We start from the raw sequence: 23,735 nt of genomic DNA, 5'->3' as shown, positions 1-23,735 counted from the left end.
CGCCTGGCCAGTAATTTTTTTTTGAGACAGGGTCTCACTCTGTTGCCCAGGCTGGAGTACAGTGGCATGATCACAACTCACTGCAACCTTGACCTCCCAGGCTTAAGCCATCCTCTCACTTTAGCCTCCTGTATAGCTGGAACCACAGGTCTGAGCCACCATGCTGGAGTAATTTTTAAAAATTTTTTATATTATAAAGATGGGGTTTCACTATGTTGCCCAGGCTAGTATTGAACTCCTGGGCTCAAGGGATCCTCCTGCCTCAGCCACCCAAGTGCCGGGATTACAGATATGACCCACTGCACCTAGCCAGACTAGGTCCACTTAATAGATCAGACATAGATTCTGACGTGTAAAAATATTCTCATATGTAATATAAAAAGGACCATGGTTTAGCCATTCACCAGTCGAAGGACATTTGGGTTATTTCCAATGTTTGGTGATTATGAATAAAGCTGCTATAAACATTCAGTTACACTTATGTGTGAACTCAGTTTTCATTTCTCTTGGGTAGATACCTGGGAGCAGTTATTGGGTCATATGGTAGGTATATATTTAACTTTATAAAAATTAGCCAGACATGATGGCTGGTGCCTGTGGTCCCAGCTACTCGGGAAGCTGAGGCAGGAAAATGGCGTGAATCCAGAAGGCGGAGCTTGCAGTGAGCCGAGATCGCGCCACTGCACTCCAGCCTGGGTGACAGAGCAAGACTCCGTCTCGAAAAAAAAAAAAAAATAGAAACTGCTGGCCTGATGTGGTAGCTCACACCTGTAATCCTAGCACTTTGAGAGGCTGAAGAGGGAGGATCACTTGAGGCCATGAGTTTGAGACCAGCCTGGCCAACATAGCAAGACCCCTGTCTCTGCACAAAATTTAAAAATTAGGCAAGCATGATGGTGTGTGCTTGTAGCCCTAGCTTCTTAGGAGGCTGAGGCAGGAGAGTCCCTTGAACTCAGGTGTTTGAGGTTACAGTGAGCTATGGTCATGCCACTGCACTCCAGCCTAGGTGACAAAGTGAGATCCTGTCTCAAAAAAAAAAGAGAGAGAGAAGAAAGAAAGAAACTGTCAAATTATTTTTCAAGCATTCCCATCAACATTGTACTAGAGTTCTACTTCCTCAGCATTGTGGTATTTGGTATTGACAGTTTTTTGAAATTTGCCATTCTCTTAGATGTGTAGTAGTATGTCATTTTGGTTTTAATTTGTATTTTCCTAATGAAAGATATTGGGTACCTTTTCAAGTGCTTATTTGTCGTACATATATCTTCTTTGGTAAAGTTTCTAGATCTTTTCTCCATTTTTAAATTGCATTATTTCCTTATTGTTGGGTTTTCAGGGTTCTTTATATATTCTTGATGCAAGTGCTTTGACAGAAATGTGATTTGCAAGTATTTTCTCCCAGTCTATGGCTGTGTTTTTATTTTCTTAGCAGTCTTTTGAAGAACAAAGTATTTCATTTTAATAAAGTCCAACTTATACATTTTTCTTTTATGGATTTTACTTTTGGTGTTTTATTTGTAAGCTCTTTGCCTAATGCAAGGTCAATCATATTTTCTTCTGTGTTTTCTTCTAGAAGTGTTATAGTTTTACATTTTACATTTAGGGCTATGATCCATGTTGAGTTAATTTTTTTTTTTTTTTTTTTTGAGACGGAGTCTCACTCTGTTGCCCAGGCTGGAGTGCAGTGGCACGATCTCGGCTCACTGCAAGCTCCGCCCTCTGAGTTCAAGTGATTCTCCCGTCTCAGCCTCCCCAGTAGCTGGGATTCCAGGTGCCTGCCACCGCGCCCAGCTAATTTTTTGTATTTTTTTTAGTAGAGACGAGACTTCACCATCTTGGCCAGGCTAGTCTTGAACTCCTGACCTCGTGATCCACCCACCTCGGCCTCCCAAAGTGCTGGGATTGCAGGCGTGAGCCACCGTGCCCGGCCTATTGAGTTAATTTTTATACAAGGTGTGGTTTATGTCAAGTTTTAATCTTTTGTTTATGGATGTCCAACTGTACCAACACCATTTATTTAAAAAAAAAAAAGCATCCTTTCTCCATTGAATTGCCTTTTCATCTTGTCAAAAATTAAATTTGTTAGATATTTCTGAGGGTTTATTTCTGGGCTCTCTATTCCATTGGCTTTTGTGTAGGTTTTTTCTTTTTTCTTTTTACCAATAACACCATGTCTTGATTACTATAGCTTTATAGTAAGTCTTGAAATCAATTATTGTGAGTCCTCCAGCTTTGTTGTTATTTGGCTATTGAGGTTTCTTTGCTTTTTCACATATATTTTAGAATCAATTTGTTAATATCTATAAAAAATCCTTCTGGGATTTTGATTGGGATTTATTAAATCTATAGATCTAATTGTTTGCATTATGTCTTCCATATTTTTAGATCTTTTTGTTTCTTTTTTCATGTTTTGTAGTTTTTAGCATAAAGGTCATACACGTTAATTTTGTATGTAAGTATTTCATATTTTTGGAGCTATTCTAAGTGGTATTAAAATTTTAAAAATTCCATCTGTTCATTCATAACACATAGAAATACAGTTGATTTTTGTTTGTTAATTTTGTATCTTGCAACCTTATTTTTTATTTTTTTGAGACGGAGTTTTGCCCTTGTTGCCCAGGCTGGAGTGCAATGGCGCAATCTCGGTTCACCGCAACCTCTGCCTCCTGGATTCAAGCGATTCTCCTGCCTCAGTCTCCCGAGTAGCTGGGATTACAGGCATGCACCACCACACCCGGCTAATTTTGTATTTTTAGTAGAGACAAGGTTTCTCCATGTTGGTCAGGCTGGTCTTGAACTCCTGACCTCAGGTGATCCGCCTGCCTCGGCCTCTCAAAGTGCTGGGATTACAGGCATGAGCCACTGGGCCCAGCCCTTGCAACCTTATTAATGTCATTTATTAGTTCTAGGAATTTTTGTAATAAACATTTTTTTCTACATAAGCTTTCATGTTATCTGTGAATAGAGACAGTATTTATTTGTTTATGTATTTATTGAGACAGGGTCTCATTCTGTTACACAGGCTGGAGTAGAGTGGTGTGATCATGGCTCACTACTGCCTTGACCTCCTGGGCTCAAGTGATCCTTCCATCTCAGCCCCAGGAATAGCCGAGACTACAGGCATGTGCCACCATTCCTGGCTTTTTATTTATTTATTTATTTATTTATTTATTTATTTATTTTTCTGTAGAGATGGGGTCTCACTATGTTGCCTAGGCTGGTCTTGAACTCCTGGATTCATGTAATCCTCCCACCTTGGCCTTCCAAAGAGCTGGGATTTTATACGTGTCGAGCTACTACCCCTGGCCCAGTTTTGTTTCTTTTTTGATCTGAAGACCATTTCTTTCTTTTCCTTGCCTTATTCCACTGTCTAGGACTTCTAATATGATTTTGAATAGGAGTGGCAAGAGAGGACATTCTTGCCTTGTTCCTGATCTTGGGAGAAAGTAATTAGTCTCTCACTATGAAGTATAATGTTAAATGTAGTTTCTTCATAGATACCCTTTATTAGGCTGAGAAAGTTTCCTTCTATTCATAGTTTTCTGGGCACTTCTCCCATGAATGGATGTTAATTTTTTAAAATCTTTTCTTGCATCAGTTGAGATGAGATGGCATTTTTCTTTAGTCTGCTAACAGGATGGATTGCACTGATTAGTTTTCAAGTGTCAAACCAGTATTTCTGGAATAAATCCCACTTAATCTTTTTATATATTGCTGGGTTCAATTTGTTGTTTATATATTACTGGTTATTTTGTTGAGAGGTTTTTGATCCAAGATGTTCACAAGGAATATTGTTCTGTAGTTTTCTTGTAATGTTTTTATCTGGTTTTGATGTCAAAATAATGCTGTCCTTATAGAATTAATTGGAAAGGATTCGTACCTCTTCTGTTATCTGGAAGACATTTTATAGAATTGATGTTATTTCTTATTAAAATGCTTAGTAGAATTCTCCAGTGACGCCATCTGGGCCTGGAGATTTCTCTTTTGGAAGGTTTTAAACTATAAATTCTATTTCTTTAATAGGTATAGGACCATTAAGGTAATCTGAATTAGGTTTTGATAGCTTGGTTTCCAAGAGATTGGTCCATTTCATCAAAGTTGTTGAATTTATGTGCATAGAGTTATGCATAATATTCCCCGTAGTGATGTCTTCTCCTTCATTCTTCATATTAGTGTCTGAAAACAATAACAATGATTTATTTCTCATTCTGATGGTTCTTCTCCTGGTCTCTCTTGGGCTTACTCTGGCTGTATTGGTAGATTGGCTACAGCTGGAGGATCTAAAAATGGCCTCACCCATATGTTTGGGGCCTTGATGGGGATGACTGGAGTAGCTGAGACTTGTCTCTCCCTGGATTCATTGGGAACCAAAATGATCTGCCATGTGGAAGTGGAAGCATAAGGAGAGGACTTGATCATAGTAAAATCCTCAGTAAATGCTCATGGATTTATCCAATGACGTGGAGACCAAAGAAAGAGTTTCAAAGAGGAAGGGGTATCAGTATGTCACATGCTGCAAAATAGTTAAGCAGAATATGGCCTGAGAAGGCTATTGTTTTGTTTTGGGTTAGTAACTTTTGAGAGAGCATTTTTAGTAGAGTTTAGAAAAGATTGCAGAGCATTAAGAAGAAAACGTGGTGAAGAAAAGGAGGCAGTCTGTATTTTTGTTTGAGAAATTTTATTTAGAAAATAAATGCTAGTTAAATGGAACAGGAGACTAAACAGAGAATTGTGAGAGACCCAATGCATATTTGAAGGTAAATTCTGTAAAGAGTGAAAGCTTGAAAAGGCTCAAGTAGGGGGACAATGGGAGTGGGCAGAGTAGAGTCCTGGAAAGAGCTCTGGGAGAGGATGTGATAAAGAGCGCAGTTGGAGGGATTGTTTGGTCTTGGAAGGAGCTGGCTAGCCTGAAACTGGAGGGAAGGTTAAATTGATGGGAAAAAGCAGGAAGAGAGAAAAAGAAGGTCTCAGTTTCCATGAAGTTGCAACCATTTGCTGGTTGTACAGTGGGATGGAAGACTTAAAGAGAAGCTTGGAATAGCCAATGCTGGCAATGGATATTGAAACAGTAAGATAAATCTAAGGATTTAGAAGCAGTTCTAGGGACTTAGTGAAAGTAAAACCTTTAACACACTAGGTCTTTATATTGTAACTTTCTCTAACAATGCTCTAGGAACACGGTAGAGGATACATAGTGGAAGGTACAAAGAACTTTTAGAGGCCGGGCACGGTGGCTCATGCCTGTAATCCCAGCACTTTAGGAGGCTGAGGTGGGCAGATCATTTGAGGTCAGGAGTTTGAGACCAGCCTGACCAACATGGTGAAACCCGGTCTCTACTAAAAATACAAAAATTAGCCAGGCATAGTGGTGTATGCCTGTAGTCCCAGCTACTCGGGAGGCTGAGACAGGAGAATCGCTTGAATCCAGGAAGCGGAGGTTGCAGTGAGCTGGGAGTGTGCCATGGCACTCTAGCCTGGGTGACAGAGTGAGATTTAGAGAATAAGGGTGTTTAGAATGCTAATGAGTAAAGTATTTGAGTACATGATCCTGTATAGTAAATATTTTTCTATAATCTAGACTAGACTTCTCTCTTTCTTCTACCTTTTTTATGACTTCAGGAAACTTGTTGAATTATTCCAATTCTGGATTAAAAGAAGGTCCCTTCTGCCAGAAAATTGTAAAAAGCTGTAGTTTAACCAACTCTAATTCCTAATCTTCCCCAATCCCTTATTTTAGAGCATTTATTGTCATATCTCGTTTCTGATATCAATTTCTGAGAGCATTTTCTACATTTTAAGAAAAGTAGGACATCTGGGGAGATAAAACAGTAAATATCCTATTCTGATACTGTCACATTTTTATCTCATTTCATCCTCAGAAATAACCATATTAAATATATTTGCTGTCATTTTGCCTTATGTATTTTGAGACTATGGTATTAGATATATATCTAATTTAGAACTACATATTTTTAATGAATTGTACATTTTTTTATGTAGTGACCAGACCTCTTATCTGCTTATATTGCTTTTTTTTTTTGCCTAAACATCTATTTTGTCTCATATTAATTAATGTAGCTAGCTGTACTAGTTTTCTTTTGGCTAGTATTTACGTGCTTCATCTTTTTTCCATTCAGTTACTTTTAACCTTTAGGTATAATTCTGTTTTATGTCTTTTGTAAACTGTTTGTAGCTGGATTTTGTGGGTTTTCATTGAATCTTGAAGATCTTTGTCTTTTAAATTGACCAGCTCTAATTTTATTTTATAAAATGGAATCTGATTTGAACAGACATTTATAGCTATTTACTGATCAGTACTGTGCTAAGCCACTATGAGAAATGTGGAGAAATATGAGAAAATTTGCCATCATTGAGCAATTTAAAACCTGTGATTTTCCCTTAAAACATAGTATATACATTCTAAATTTTCAAAGGAAATTGCCTTCTGATTTACTTATTCAGATTATTAGATATACCAGTGGGTCAATTAAAAAAAAGTTTTTGTAAACCAAAAACAATATACATGGCCATATATAATTTGACCTTTAATTATTTTTCATGATAGATGAAAAGAATTAGCCACATTTTGTACATGGAGACACTGAAACTCAGAGCAGTTAGACTCACTAACAGTCCTAGAGCTGGTTAATTAGCAGCAAAGTTTGATTTTAAAGTGTTCTGGGTCTGTCTGATTGTTGGCTTCTTAAAGTGAAAAGACATGGACTTTGGAGTTACTCATTTTGGGCTTCAGTCTCTTCTTTGGTACTGATTAGTTGTATGATTTGTTTCATCTATCTGATACTCAGATTCCTTGCTTAAGGTACCTGCATCACAGGATTATGGTGAACACTAAAGGAGGCCATTTGTGTCCAGTTTCTTGTGTGATGTCTGATATATGTATAGTATATGCTTAATAGCTGGTAATATCATCATTGTTATTAGTAGTAAAAACTAGCCTTTACAACCTTTTCCAGAACTTGTCATCTTGTCTCATTAATTAGATGAATTATCTCTGAATTGTGGAAAACTGGCAGTGAGCCAGGGACAAGCACTAACAACATGATTTTTAAATGTGAGACAGAAAATTTTCTACAAAACCTGGGTTATGTTGCCCCATTTATTTCATATGGCTACCCTAAAGTTGAAGAAATGTTTTGCTCTAGTAAATTGTGACTGGGAATTTTAATTGATACATTTTTATTTTCAAACAAAACTTAAAGCTTTTCTTTAAAAGTAGTGGCTTTAATACTACACATCTCTACAAAGTCTAGTTTAAAGAAATTCATCAGCTTTAATATTAAGTTTCCCAAGTTTTCAAAGATTTGTGGCAATACCTTGGCATAACATAAATGTGAAATGTAAATTGAGTATTAATGTTACTCTAGAGTAAGACTCTCAAAACAAAAACTCTTGTGTTGATAATTCCTTTTCCCTACAATGAGGCTTTTCTGAGATTCCTTTTCTTCAGACCTAAAACATAAAATATGGTCCAATAAAAAGTACATTTTGAAATACACCATATACTTAGGAAATCAGGCCTGTAGTCAAGATAATATAGTTTTGTTGGTTTTTTTGTTTGTTTGTTTATTTTGAGACAGGGTCTTGCTCTGTCACCCAGGCTGGAGTGCAGTGGCACGATCTCGTCTCACTGCAACCTCTGCCTCCCAGGTTTAAGCGATTCTCCTGCCTCAGCCTCCGGAGTAGATGGGATTACAGGCACATGCCACCATGCCTGACTAATTTTTGTATTTTAGTAGAGACGGGGTTTTGCCATATTGGCCAGGCTGGTCTTGAACTCCTGACCTCCGGTGATCTGCCCACCTTGGCCTCCCAAAGTGCTGGGATTACAGGTGTGAGCCACCACACCCAGCCAGTTTGTTGGTTTTTTTAAAGACTCATTCGATGTACATGAAGAGGTTTGAATTGTGTATTCCTACTCTTGATTTTGACAATATTTTTCCTTTTCAATTCAGAAATCAGGAATGATGTAATTTTTGTGGATCCAATCCTAGGCTTGTGAAAATGGGTGAAGTTCTTTGTTGGATAGATTAGATAGATTGAAAGTTATATTTACATGCATTTTCCTGGTCTTTGTTTAAACAGAGTAGGGTTTTTAATGATCAATCTGAAAAAGAAACAAACAATTGCATATGAAAAAAGGATAGTAATCCTATACATCTTTATCTTTCATTTTTTTCCTCTTCTCCCTCATTGTACATGGGAGCAGTTGCAGCCTAAGACTTAAGTTGGAGCCAAAGGGAAAAGAAAAGATTGTACTCCTTTTAGTAAAATAGCATTTTAAATACTAAAATGTTCCACAACTCCTTATGCAATAATCAGCTGAAGCATTAATAACTTCCTGCTATCTTAAATGTAACAGTCACTTTGAAAAAGCCTCAATCATTAGTTGGGTCCCCTGTGGACGTTAGTGCCAAGTTCAGTTGAAATAGTTGCTTGTGGGACACCAAGGCATCCTTCCAGCAAAATTTTAAAAATTGAATCTAGTAAGACCTCATTGCTTAAAAAAATTTTTTTGCATATTTTAAAATTTATATCCAATGAAATTTACTCATTTGATGTGCAATAGTTCTGTCAGTGTTGATACATGTATAATCAAGATGTAAAATGGTTTTATTACCCCCTCAAAATTCCCCTGTATTGCTCCTTTGTAGTCAGCCCTTCCCTCCTGCCCCCAGCTCCTGGCAAACCCCTGATCTGTTCTCTTCCCCTGGCTCCTTTCATTTAGCATAATGCATTTAAGATTCATCCATGTTCTTGGATGTCAGTGGTTTATTCCTTTTTATTGATGAATGGTGTTCCATTATGAGAATGTACCATAGTGTATCCATTCACTAGTTGAAGGACATTTGGGTGATTTCCAGGTTTTGGTGATTATTAATATCACTTATCATAAATATTTCTGTACAAGTTTTTGTGTGACTATAACTTTTCATTTCCCTCAGATAAATACCTAGGAGTGGAATTGCTGGGTCATATAGTAAAGGTATAATTAACTTTATAAGAAACTGTCAAACTGTTTTCCAAAGTGTCTCTACTATTTTGTACTTAACACCAGTAATTTTTGAAAGTCCTGCATGCTTGCCAGCAATTAGTATTGTCAGTTTTTTTGTTTGTGTATTTTAGCCATTCAAATAGAGGGATACTCATTGCCTTTCAAAGTACAGTTTTGCTTTTGACTTCCACTGAGTGGATGTTCCTATAATATTTGCATTGTGTGTGCTGAGAATAGAACTATTTCCATCTACTTTTGCAAGTCAGACTGTAGTTCCAACTGTCTAAAACTATGATATATCTTTTGGACTTAGAACTTGAATGGCCAGTGCTCTGATAAATATTATAAATTTAGGAATAACTTAATACAGGTTTTTTGTATTCTTAATAGATAACAGTATTTGAAGATATTAAAAAGCAAGTGTACTACCTAAAGCAATTTATAGATTTAATGCAATCCCTATCAAAATATCAATGATATTCTTCACAGAAATTTTAAAAAAAACCCTAAAATTCATATGGAATCACAGCAGACAAAGCAATCCTGAACAAAAAGAACAAAGCTGGAGGCATCACACTACCTGACTTCAAAATATACTACAAAACTATAGTAACCAAAACAACATGGCATAGGTATAAAAACAGACACATAAGTCAGTGGAACAGAACAGAGAATCCAGAAATAAATCCATGTATTTACAGCCAATTGATTTTCAATAAAGGTGCCCAGAACACACATTGGGGGAAAGGATATATTCTTCAATAAATGATGCTGGGAAAAATGGATATCTATATGCAGAAGAATAAAACTAGACTTCCTATCTTTCATCTTTTAAAAAAATTAACTCAAAATGGATTAAAGACTTAAAAGTGAGATCTGAAACTATAAAACTGCTAGAAGAAAACACAGGGGAACTGCTTTAGAATATTGGTACTATACAGCCATGAAAAATAATGAAATCCTGCTATTTGTGGAAACATGGATGAAGCTGGAGGTTATGTTAAGTAAAATAAGGCACAGAAAGATAAATACTGCATGTTCTTACTCATATGTGGGAGATAAAAAAAATTCGAGCTCATGAAAGTAAGGAGTAGAATTGGAGCTGGGCGTGGTGGCTCACCCCTGTAATCCCAGCACTTTGGGAGGCTGAGGCAGGCGGATTACGAGGTCAGGAGTTCAAGACTAGCCTTAACAACATGGTGAAACACCATCTCTACTAAAAATACAAAATTAGCCAGGTGTGGTGGTGTGCCCCTGTAATCCCAGCTACTTAGGAGGCTGAGGCAGGAGAATCGCTTGAACCTGGGAGGCAGAGGTTGCAGTGAGCCAAGATTGTGTCACCACACTCCAGCCTAGGCTACAGAGTGAGACTCCATCTCAAAAAAAAAAAAGAGTAGAATTGGAGGTATTAGAAGCCATGAAGGGTAGGTGAGAAGGAAGGATGGGAGGAGATTGGTTAATGGATATAAAATTATAGCTGGATAGTACTAAATGAGTACTGATGTTCTGTAGCACAATAGGGTAAATATAGTTAACTGTAATTTACTCTATATTTTCAAAAAGCTAGAAGAGAGAATTTTGAATGTTCATAGTACAATGAAATGATCAATGTTTGAGGTAATGGATGTGCTATTTAATCTGATCATTACACATTGTATGCATGTATTGAAATATCACTCCGCATTGCATAAATAGGTATTATTATTGTGCATCAACTAACAATAAGAGTGAAATTGTTGTTGAATGAATGAAAAGGACTCAGAAATTGAGTTTTGCAAAGGTATTTATGCAGTTTTGCAAAAGGCTGTAGATTGAATTTCAGGCTGTCTTCCTGAACCAGATTCCGGTGAGTGCTCTGTATTAGTTATAGCCACCAGTAGTCTTCTAGTAATCTATGCTTAAGTGCGATAATTTTGTAGATAGAATTTCAGGCAGTCTTTCTGAACCAGATTCCTGTGAGTGCTCTGTATTAATTATAGCCACAAGTAGTCTTCTAGTATCTATGCTTAAATGCAATAATTTTGTAATCATTTTAGTTTACCAGCAGTATTGTTGTCAGGGTAACATTTCTTTGTTCTAGGAGATTTCCATCATGACTGAGGACATAGTTATTTTATTTTGTTACGCAAATTTTTCATTTACTGTTTTTATGGTTTTTTATCTGCAAAGGGTTAACACACAATTGTTCCAAACTGCTTGAGCATTACAGATAATTTTAGCACTCAGAAATGACTTCAAAAAGAGACACAGAGAGGACACATTCATTAGGACATACAATCACAATTAGTATTTTCCAAAAACTCCCATCATTAATGCAAACAAGCTGAATACCAGAACATACCAAATATTCTCTATGAGATAGATGGTTAAAAATTGAATGAAGAGAGAGCCTACCAGGTATATTAAAGGCCTAGAAAAGGTCTTCAGTATGTTCAAGTAAATAATCTCTTACCAGAGCAAATGTTTGTGCACAAAGGGAGGGCAGGTGGGGGTAGGTGGCAGGGGAACTTATGGGACTTGTAAACAAAATCTTTTTTTTAGGGCTAAAAAATTTTCATCTCTTGGCTTTTGGAATGTTTGAAAAAGTGCAGGATTTGATTTTCTCTGGGACTTTATGTGACTATCTTCAAATACTTAAAGCAGTTTGGCAAAGATTTTAGTTTCTTATTCTTCTTCAGGGTGAAAATCACTATATTTTATTGTTCTTCAGAAGCCAGGCGATAAAAGGAAATAATGTTGCCAAGATTTTGCTCTCTGTGAGAACATTTACATTACCCTTCTCTAATTATTTCTCTATAGAGTTTTCCAAAGAATTAAAGGGCTGAAAGGAAACCTGCTACTCACACGATAAAGAGTTTATTCCATATTTACTTTTAGGCAATTGAATGAGCTGTTCGGCATCTTATTCATACTTGTCTGCAATTAGCTTTAGGTGTCCTCTTCATATTGTTTCATTCCCATTAACATCCACACTGGTGACTTGCCATTAATCATGTTGCAGACTCCTTTGTGCTGCTCTGGTGTCTAAGATTCTAACTCATTAAAAAGTCAGCACTTCCTCTTGTCTTTGGTCCTTCTCATTGCTTCTATCAATTGAAACTTCCTTCCTTCTTTTTCATATTGCCACCTTTTTACTAAGGGGATTGCATTATTTCTGCATTAACTCCTATCTGGTTCCGCACAAATGTCTAGACCTGTGAAGGGTCTGAGATTTTACTTTACTTACAAGCTAACAAATTATCCTGGCACAATTTAGTGAATACCCAGAGTGTTTTACATTTATTACTGTTGCTTATACTATTCATTTAACTTGCATCATTTCATTTAAGGTCAGTCACTGGGACGGGCCTTAAGTTCTGAGTTACACACAGAAAAGATGCCCATGCTCCCTGGCACTTGGTTTACTTTGTATTCTCTTCCTTTCCTTTGGTTTTTTGGGGCAGAAGTATTAACATGATAGTGCCTTTCTGTCTTGATGTGTCAGCCCCCTTCTTATCCCTGGGGTGGTCTCTCTTGCTGAAACATTTGCCATTCACCCTGCTACAGATAAACTGATTAGTACCAAGGATATATAATTAATAAATGCTCATTTTTCATCTTCTCTGAAGCCACATCCTAAATCCTTCTGTTTTTACCAATGTATTTTAAGGCACACATATTGTTAATGAGTGGAGCCTGGTATAAGTAGAATATCGTCTTATTCTCTACCTAGATGAACCACAACATGGATTTCTGCGTAACAGCCCACTAATTCTGTTTCCCAGACGTTATTCAAAGCTGCTATAGTACTAAACCCATTTTCAGGCTTTTAGATCTTATCCGCAGGATATAACGAAGCTATAGCCTGTGAATCTAACATCTGAATTGCATTTATTATTTTATCTGATACCACTTTCTACTTTTTTCCAGCTGTTGTATTAATTATTGCAATACTCCAAAGCACTTCCAGCTTAAGTATTGGGACTGAGTGGTATAGCTACTATTATTATGCCCTGTTTACAGGAGAAAAAATAAAGGCACGCAGAGCTTAATTAACTTGCCTAAGGTTATAAAGTTAGTGAGAGAGCCGGATTTAATCTTAGCCGTCTACGTCTACAATCTGTGCTCATAACTTCATAACTCTTTGCTTTACTGTCTCTTCAAATTATTGTCATTTGAGAGGTTTAGGTAGTAGATATTGTTATGGATTCATAATAGGGGCAGTACAGTTAGAGTTTATGGAGAAGTGAGTTTCAGCTGATTCTTAAAATAGAGAATAGGTTTGAATATGTGAAAAAGAGCATTCCAAGATGTACAGAATAAGCAAAGGTTCAGAGACAGGACTAACCGGAGTATGTTCAGGGAATAATGAAGATATTAGACTGACTATAGAAATAATAAATAACCAGTGAACTTGGTTAGTATTGAAAGTTTATCCATTAGAACTTCACTGGAAAAAATATTAAGTGTTTATATCTGAGTTCTTAAATTCAATTGGATTCTTTTGAAGATACTGCTAATCTTACTCATTGGGAACATTGACTCAGTTTTCAGATGGAAATACATTAGTAAGGAAATAATGAAATAAAATTCATAGTTTTTATTGTAGAAAATTTTTTTTAGTATTTTCATTTTTTCTTGAGCTAGTTCTACTGACACCAACATACTTTGATTAGTTAACTGGTGATAAAATAGGTCCAGCAGGAGAAGTTGGATGTAATTTGAATTTCTGCCCGATTTCAGAAGAAAAATGTTAAGTGTTCTGGTCATTTCTGGTGGAGTGAAGGTCTTGTTATGAAGTTGTCATTGGCAGGTTTACAGACCACTGAACGTGGCTTTGTTATTTACAAAAACCACAACACACATACGCAGAAAGTAGCTATCATGTGAAAACATGTAACTCTGTCAAAGAAATGTCATGTTTATGTAGCCTAGTGAAAATAAGAATCTTGATTGTAATGGGAAGCTGGTTCCTTTCCTAAGCTTGAGGCTGAAGAAATGTGAATTTTCCTTTGGGTTTTGTGAACCACCCAAGTTTGAAATAGACATAAAATAAACAAATAAGCTGCCAATATTTATTTATTTATTTTACGTTAATTATTTTTTATGAGACAGGTCTCACTCTGTCACCCAGGTGGGGGTGCAGTGGCAAGATCTTGGCTCACTGTAACCTCAGCCTCCCAGGCTCAAGCGATCCTCCCACCTCAGCCTCCCGAGTAGCGAGGACTACAGGCCCATGCCAGGATGCCCGCCTAATTTTTGTATTTTTTTTGGTAGAGACGTGGTTTCACTATGTTGCCCAGGCTGGTCTCAAACTCCTGAGCTCAAGTGATCTGCCCACCTTGGCCTCCTAAAGTGCTAGGATTACAGGCATGAGCCACTGCCTGGTCTATTTATTTGTTATTTGTTATCTTTACAAACTAGAAGAGCTGTGAAGAGCAGGGAAATAAAGTGACACCAAAGGTTAGGAACTGCAGAAGTGTGGGAGGTATAGAGTTGGCCAAGTGGGAATTTCTTTGAGGAATCTTTTGTTTTGACTTGTGTGGATAAATAAGCTGCTTGTGATTACATAAAGAATTTTGAAGCTTAATTTCCTTTTCTAGAATGGAGAAGCAAACCCCTTTACAACTCTCTTTTTAAGAGTCTGGATTTGTAGTTGTCTAGTAGCTTTTTGAAGTCATCAAAAATAGTATCAAAGATTATTTTTTCCAAGCTAAACTGTGTTGGTACAGTGCCATTTTATATAGTGCCTTACCTATTTAGAACTGTAATTTGTACCATAGATTTCTCAGGACCCTTTAAGGGTAGGATCATAGCTATTTTGGAATGGGACCTATTCCTAGGATACATATGTTAATACAAAGTCCTCTGTTACTGCTGTGTCAAACTATGTTGAAAACACTTTCCTTTTGATAAAATGAATAGAGGCAGTAGCAAAAAATGAATCCTAACTGACCTTTAAATGAGTCTTTGCATTAGAAGGCTAAAACTAAGGGCTTCTCAATATTTTTATCCAAAGAACTGTCTGACTGCGAAGAATAGTGGACAGGGGTGTGGTGGGGAGGAAGTGGGGATGGTTAATGGGTACAAAAAAAAATAGAAAGAATGAATAAGACCTAGTATTTGATAGCACAGCAGATAGACTGTGGTCAATAATTTAGTAATTTATGGACAGTAATTTAATTGTACATGTTAAAATAACTAAAGGAGTATAATTGGATTGTTTGTAACACAAAGGATAAATGCTTAAGGTGATGGACACACCGTTTATCCTGATATGATTATTACACATTGCATGCCTATGTCAGAATACCTCAGGTACCCCATAAATATATACACCTTATACACCTATGTACTCACAAAAATTAAAAATTAAAGTATTTCTTTCGAAAAGTGAAAAAAGTGAAACCAACAAACAAACAACAAAGAACTGTTTGAAATATACTTAAAAGAAATGTTTATTTTCCAAATATTTTAATTTGGGAAAGACATTCAACTCACAGATCAGGATGAACCTGTAAACTTTCTCCTCTGGTTTTATTGTTCATCATTTCCTTACTTTAAAGTTTCTATTCTTCATTAATTTCTTCCTGGGCAGAACACATTAGCTTATGATTCTAGCTATGGCACAATCTAGTATGACCTTGAATCGGTTGCCAAAGTTAATCATCTGAGCCTTAGGCTTTTGCTGCTATACAGTGGGATTATTTATTATTTAACATGTTGTCATTTCCAACATGTGCCCTTAGTGCCATGTAGATAAGCCTGCCTTTGGTGGCTTCTAATTCAGAAAAACTAATAATACACACACACACACACACACACACACACACACTGTCACACACACACTACATAATTTATGTACTCTATATGTTTCCTGATTTAAGTAAACTAAACGGGATAGAAAGTAAATTTGAACTAGAGTTAATTTTATCTATCCTTACAAAGTTGTCATGAAAATTTATTAAGAAAAATAAAATAGAGTTCATTTTATTAAGAGGGCATTAAATCTTAGTTGGTAATGTCTCTTTCCTTCTTTCCTTTGCAGAGTATGTATGTAACTGCTCTGTGGTTGGAAGCCTGAATGTGAATCGCTGCAACCAGACCACAGGGCAGTGTGAGTGTCGGCCAGGTTATCAGGGGCTTCACTGTGAAACCTGCAAAGAGGGCTTTTACCTAAATTACACTTCTGGGCTCTGTCAGCCATGTGACTGTAGTCCACATGGAGCTCTCAGCATACCGTGCAACAGGTAAGCAACAGAGGGTGGAACTGAAGTTTATTTTATTTTAGCAAGGGGAAAAAAAAGGCTGCTACTCTCAAGGACCATACTGGTTTAAACAAAGGGGGATGAGGGTCATAGATTTACAAAATATTTTATATACTTTTATTCTCTTACTTTATATGTTATATTTAATGTCAGGATTTAAAAACATCTAATTTACTGATTTAGTTCTTCAAAAGCACTAGAGTCGCCAATTTTTCTCTGGGATAATTTCTGTAAATTTCATGGGAAAAAATTATTGAAGAATAAATCTGCTTTCTGGAAGGGCTTTCAGGCATGAAACCTGCTAGGAGGTTTAGAAATGTTCTTATGTTTATTAATATACCATTGGAGTTTGAGGAAATTTGTTGTTTGGTTTATTTTTCTCTCTAATCAAAATTCTACATTTGTTTCTTTGGACATCTAAAGCTTAACCTGGGGGTACCCTAATTTATTTAACTAGTGGTAAGTAGACTGGTTTTACTCTATTTACCAGTACATTTTTGAGACCAAAAGTAGATTAAGCAGGAATTATCTTTAAACTATTATGTTATTTGGAGGTAATTTAATCTAGTGGAATAATGTACTGTTATCTAAGCATTTGCCTTGTACTGCACTGAAAGTAATTATTCTTTGACCTTATGTGAGGCACTTGGCTTTTTGTGGACCCCAAGTCAAAAAACTGAAGAGACAGTATTAAATAATGAAAAAAATAATGACAGGTTATACTCAGTGTAACCTGGGTATAACCCAAGATCTGCTGCCACTTAGGAGCTGTGTTCCTTGGGCAAGTAATTTCCTTTCACTGAGCTTGTTTCTTCTCAAGGTTGTTGTGAAGATTAAATGAGTTGATATATATAAAATGCCTAGCACATGTCACTCAATAAATTCTGGTTTGTTTTAATTTCAAAGGAATATTATGGACTGAAATGAGAGAACATGTTTTAAGAACTTTTAGCTCCTTGACAAAGAAGTGCTTTATACTTTAGCACTAAATATTTTAAATGCTTTATAAATGATATTATACTGTTATGGAATATTGTATCATATTGTAGTTTATTAAAAATGTAGAAGAGGCTGGGCGCGGTGGCTCACGCCTGTAATCCTAGCACTTTGGGAGGCCAAGGCGGGTGGATCACTTGAGGCCAGGAGTTCTAGATGAGCCTGGCCAGCACAGTGAAACCCCGTCTCTACTAAAAATACAAACAAATTAGCTGGGCGTGGTGGCACACACCTGTAGTCCCAGCTACTCGGGAGGCTGAGGCAGGAGAATCGGTTGAACCCGGGAGGTGGAGGTTGCAGTGAGCTGAGATCGCGCCACTGCACTCCAGCCTGGTGAGAGAGGGAGACTCTGTCTTAAAAAAAAAAAAAGTAGAAGAGAACTTCATTAAGAAGTTTATAATTTCAAATGCAGCAATAATCAATGCTTCTGATGCTTAATATTTTAAAATAGTTATTTGTCTTAATTTTCACAGCAACTCCTTATATATAGGTTACTAGGTCACAAAGATAGTAAGTGCCAGAGAAAGAATTCCAAATTAGGTCTTCAATTCCAAGTCCAGTGTCTTCACTACCATAGCATACCGTAGCATGTAGATTCTATAATGAGAAAACTGATAATCACTCTATTCTTTGAGATTGAGAATAGAGTGGTAGCTTAACGCTGTTCCCTCCACTCCCCCTAAAACATGCTCATACAAGTTAGATTCAGAAGTTTCACATTGCTTACCGTTTTAAAAGATAAGCCATTGTTAAGTTTGTTCATTCTGGTGTCTCATGGAGTGTCCACTACTTTCTTTGGAATAATATTCTGCAAACATATTTGTGGAGAAATAGAAAAGTGTTTACTTCTAGGCCCAGTGCTTTATTAGAAGAGAAAGAAATAAAGGAAGGATTAAGAGAGAGTTTTATAATAGAAGCTGTAAAAGAGGAAAAAACAGTAATACTGATATTTATGTACTATCTTACTGTATTCATAATTCTACTGCAAATTATTCCTGATTTATCTTTTCTCTGACAGTTAATGCTACCAAGTTTAATGCTGAAACCCTATCCTGAAAATAGGTGGTAACCATAAAGTAATGGAAAAGTACACTAGACTAGTAATCTAAAGGCCTAGGGCAGGGGTCTGCAGAGTATGGCCTATGAACCTAATCCACCCCACTGCCTGTTTTTGTAAAGTTTTATTGGAACATAGTTCCATGCATTTATTTATGTATTGTCTATGGCTGCTTTTGTGCTATAGTGGCAGCATTGACTAGTTGTGATAGAGACTGTATGGGCTGCAAACATAAAATATTTACTATTTGGCCTTTTTGGAAAAAGTTTACCCACGCCTGGTTTATATGGTGGTTTATATCCAATCATGGTGGGTATTTTTAGGTAATCATGTAACTTTAGGCAGTTCACTTTAACCTTTATTTTATTCATTATTTTATTTTATTTTGAGACAGAGTCGCACCGTATACCCAGGCTGGTCTTGAACTCCTGGGCTCAAGCGATCCTCCTGCGTTGGCCTCCCAAAGTGCTGGGATTATAGGCATGAGCCACCATGCCTGGCTGAATTCTTTTAAGTGTTTGTCTTTTTATTTGTGAAGTGGAGATAATAATCCATGTCCTGTCCCTCTCCTGCATAAAGTTGTTTTGTCTTAAGAAGCAGGATAATGCATGCATAAATCTTCTAAGCTGCAATTGCTAGACAGATAATACAAATAATTATGGGAACCATTATTGAGCATATGCTATATGCTAGGGCACTCTACTAACTACTTGATGTGCATTATCTCATTTAATCTTTTTTTTTTTTTTTTTTTTTGAGACGGAGTCTCGCTCTGTCTCTCAGGCTGGAGTGCAGTGGCACGATCTTGGCTCACTGCAAGCTCTGCCTCCTGGGTTCACGCCATTCTCCTGCCTGAGGCTCCCAAGTAGCTGGGACTACAGGCACCCGCCACCACGCCTGGCTAATTTTTTGTATTTTTAGTAGAGGTGGGGTTTCACCGTGTTAGCCAGGATGGTCTGGATCTCCTGACCTCGTGATCTGCCTGCCTTAGCCTCCCAAAGTGCTGGGATTACAGGTGTGAGCCACCGTGCCCAGCCATCTCATTTAATTTTTACAAAAACTCCCTTGAGGAGAACATTATTATTTTCCCATTTTGACTGAGAATTTTGATGTTTAAAGGGTATAGTTAACTTGACTAATTTTATATACTAAAGCTGCCATTCAACCATTTGAACAAATGTAATATGTAAGCAGAGTCCACCAAATGACTTCACAGTTCGTGTTTTTCCTAGTAGAAAGCCTCTTGGTATTTAACACCCAAATGTCCTAGAATTCATTATCTCTCAATTCAGTGTGTTTTGGCAGATCATTATAAAATACATATTTACATTTATGTCCCAGAAATACAGCCAAATACTGCATTTTAAACAAAATAATGTGTGAGAAGTCTGTGTTAAATTCCAGATATAATTGGTAGACTGTCAGAATCACATGTCAACAATTTGAAAGGTGCACCAAATATCAACAAAGAGGATATGTAGCATGTTACTACTTGTAGCCACTGTTAACCTTAGGAATGGTTTTTGCTCAGGAAGTGATGTTTTCAGCATTTTATATCCTAACATTGGAGTTTGTTACTTTTGTATAGGTGCTTTACTGTGTTTTAGTTACACTTTAGGAACTTGGTTAGTTTTTTGGGGTTGACATGAAATGAATTGTAATTTTTTTCATTTAAAATTGATAAATAGGTTTTTTGTTAGTATCTCATGTGGAATATGTGATATTCAGTGATGGACGATTCATGCAAGAGGTGGAAGAGACCTATAATATTATTACTACGTTACTTAATGGTGGAGATATGTTGTGAGAAATGTGTTATTAGGCAATTTCATTGTCACACAGCATCATAGAATGTACTTACACAAACCTAGATGGTATAGCCTGCTGTATACCTAGACTATATAGTATGGCCTGTTGCTTCTAGGCTACAAACCTGTACAGCATGTTTCTGAACTGAATACTGTAGGCAATTTTAGTACAATGGTAAATATTTTTGTATCTAAACATAGAAAAGATACAGCAAACGTATAAAAGATAAAAACGGCACACCTGTCTAGGGTACTTACTATGAATGGAGTTTGCAGGACTGATGGTTGGTCTGGGTGAGTCAGTGATTGAGTCATGAGTGAAAGTGAAAGCCTAGGATATTATTGTACACTACTGTAGAATTTATAAAGTCTGCACACTTAGGCTACACTAAATTTATTTTTAAAAAGTTTTCTTCAATAGTAAATTAATCTTAGCTTACTCTAGCTTTTTAACATTATGATCTCTGATGTTTTAAACTTTTTGACTCTTTTTGATAACACTTAGCTTAAACATAAGTCCATTGTACAGTTGTACAAAAATATTTTCTTTTTTATATCCTTATTCTATAAGCTTTTTTCTATTTTAAAATTTTATTTTTTACTTATTAAACTTTTGTGTTAAAAACTACGACGTAAATATACACATTAGCCTAGGCCTACACAAAGTCAGGACCAATAGTACTGTCTTCCACCTCCACATTTCATCCCACTAGAAGGTCTTCGGGGGAATAACATGCATGGAGCTGTCATCCATGATAACAGTGCTTTCTTTTGGGATACCTCATGAAGAAACTGCCTGAGGCTGTTCTAGTTAACTTTTTAAAAATCGTAGATGTACACTCTAACATAACAATAAAAACTGTAGTATAGTAAATACATGAACCAGTAAGTCATTTATTTTCATTATTAAGTATTATGTACTGTGTATAATTGTACATGCTATACTTTTATATGATTGGCAGTGCAGTAGGTTTGTTTACACCAACATCACCATGAACACATGAGTAATATGTTGCAGTGTGTTACCACAGCTATGATCTCACTAGGTGATCGGAATTTTTCAGCTTCATTATAATCTTAAGGGACCATCATGATATATTCCATACGTCATTGACGGAAATGTCATCATGTTGCACCTGACTGTATTATTTTTCCCTGTTCTATATGGACTATTTTCTATGTGTGCCTACCTGATAGCTTCTGTTATCCTTAGTAGTTTTCCTTTTTTTAATGAGGTAACACATGGTTTTATATTATCCTCATAGCATCAAAGTGTGTTGATTTCTAAAATCCTTTATCATCTTCTTCTAAGTGAAATCTGGAAGGATCTTCCTTCCCCTGCAGCTCATGCAGGTAATGGTTGTTTTCTGTCTCACACTCTTACTTCTGGACCTGGAGTTGCAATAGATATCTCTCTTACTCTTCATTGCTGCTCTCAGAGTGTTCTTCCCAGCCTCCGTCCTAAAAACTCCTTTGAAGCTCATGGCAGCAGACTATGCTGTCACACCTCCTTGTTGCTGTTTCTACTCCTGGGCACCAGCCTTTATTTCTTACACTTGGCTCACTGTTATCTCTGGCACTACACTTGCCATAATTTTAGATGATTGCAGTATCTATAGATGAGCCTAACAATACTTCAGCCTCTCAGTTTCTTGACCTCTCTTCCAGTAAGTTTTCCTCCATGCTCCTTCCAGTCTTTGTTTCTTTACTTGCTGTATTTCTTGTTTGTCTTTGGCATATTAAACTTCTGAGATAAATTTATACTTCTATTGGTCACAACAGAGTCATTTTTTTAGTTTTAAAAAATATTATTAAAAAATAAAGGCCGGGCGCGGTGGCCCACGCCTGTAATCCCAGCACTTTGGGAAGCTGAGGTGGGTGGATCACCTGAGGTCAGGAGTTCAAGACCAGCCTAGCCAACATGGTGAAACCCTGTCTCTACTAAAAATACAAAAATTAGCTGGATGTGGTGGCATGCGCCTGTAATCCCAGCTGCTTGGGAGGCTGAGGTGGGAGAATTGCTTGAACCTGGGAGGTGGAAGTTGCAGTGAGCTGACATAGCACTATTACACTCCAGCCTGGGCAACAGAGTGAGACCCTGTCTCAAAAAAAAAAATAAATAAAATAAATAAAATATTATTTCAGAATGTCAGGCAATTTGTCAGAACAAGTAGTGTATCACAGAAGTAGTTTAAAAGCCTGTACTTAAAGGAAGTCTTTATAAGGAAGGCTTAGGAGCTCTAAATCCACATAGCCCTAAGCACTGAATTTCTTAGTAGGAAGTTAAATTGACATGAAACTAGAACAGAAATGGAAAGTTGCAGGACTGTGTACTTTGCAAGAAGATGTGGATGAACTCTGAGCAAACAGCTCTGTGTTCTGCTCTGCTAGAAATTATATGTGAGTGGGTTAAGGGAGAAAGGAAATTGTAGACAAGTAGTGTGATGACGTGTAGTAGAAAGGGAGCGGAATTTGAAATTGGTAGACTTGGATTCTGTTCTTGGTTCAGCCACTGGCTAACTATGTGACCTTTATTAAGCTGTTTGACCTCTCTGAACCTCATTGCTTTTATCTGTAAAATAGGATTAATATATCTAACATGAAGGATTTTTCTGATAATTAGTACAAAAATACAGTTAGATAGAAGAATAAAGATCTAGTGCTTGGTAACACAATAAGGTGACTATAGTTAACAATATATTTTGTATATTTCAAAAAGCTAGAAGAGTAGATTTGGAATGTTTCCAACACAAAGGTCATTACCCATTGTATGCTTATATAAAAACCACATGTCCCCTATAAATATATATGACTATTATATATCCATAAAAATTAAAAATTAAAAAAAGTTTAAAAGAAGAAAACTAAATTGTGCACATACGTGTGTGTGTGTGTGTGTGTGTGCCTGTGTCCACTTAGACTGGCACGTAGATTCAGCTCAATAACTCTCTACTAGTTGAATCTCTTTTTGGTTTTTTGGTTTTGTTTCTGTTTTTTTTTTTTTTTTTTTTTTTTTAAGACAAGATCTCGCTCTGTCACCCAGCCTGGAGTGCAATGTGGCTCAATCATGGCTCGCTGCAGCCTCAACCTCCTGGGCTCAATGGATCCTCCCACCTCAGCCTCCCAAGTAGCTGGGACCACAGGCATGCACCACCACGCCTGCCTATTTTTTGTAGAGACAGGGTTTTACCATGTTGCCCAGGTTGGTCTTCAACTCCTGGGCTCAAGTGATCCATCTGCCTTGGCCTCCCAAAGTTCTGGGATTGCAGGCAGGAGCCACCATGCCTGACCTGTTTTTTTTTTTTTTTTTTTTGTGTGTGTGTGTGTGTGTGTGTGTGTGTGTGTGTGTGTGCTTGTTTGTTTGTTTTAACTGAGGAATAGAATTAGTGTTATACCAAAAAGGAGGATTAAATCAACCACCCTTGAGTATGAGTAGATTTTGGGGTATTTGTTTTTTGTTGGTATGCTAGGGAAGAAGTTGTTCATTATAAACAGAAGAAATTCTCTTATTGTCTTCAATTTTTATTTAAAAACCTATTATACAGGCCAGGCGCGATGGCTCATGCCTGTAATCCCAGCACTTTGGGAGGCCGAGGTGGGTGGATCATGAGGTC

At 36.9% G+C, this 23,735-nt stretch overlaps 1 protein-coding gene across 1 annotated transcript in view, besides 1 other annotated feature; it reads left to right on the top strand.

The window, feature by feature from the left end:
- Positions 1-23,735, top strand: part of MEGF9 (multiple EGF like domains 9) — a 113,660-nt gene that overhangs the window by 38,855 nt on the left and 51,070 nt on the right. Inside the window, exon 2 of the mRNA NM_001080497.3 lies at positions 16,041-16,242. Coding sequence (NP_001073966.2) covers positions 16,041-16,242 — 202 coding nt within the window. The remainder of the gene's footprint in view (positions 1-16,040; positions 16,243-23,735) is intronic.
- Positions 20,321-20,380: a silencer, noted in NCBI's record as "silent region_20222". NCBI's record gives its function as "represses an Ori minimal core promoter by ATAC-STARR-seq in GM12878 lymphoblastoid cells {active_cell/tissue: GM12878}" and the evidence as "EXISTENCE:reporter gene assay evidence [ECO:0000049][PMID:35858748]".

This window comes from Homo sapiens, chromosome 9 (assembly GCF_000001405.40).
Source record: "Homo sapiens chromosome 9, GRCh38.p14 Primary Assembly".
Classification (NCBI taxonomy): domain Eukaryota; kingdom Metazoa; phylum Chordata; class Mammalia; order Primates; family Hominidae; genus Homo; species Homo sapiens.
Note: the sequence above shows the minus strand (reverse complement) of the source record. Positions and strands in the feature narration are given on the sequence as shown.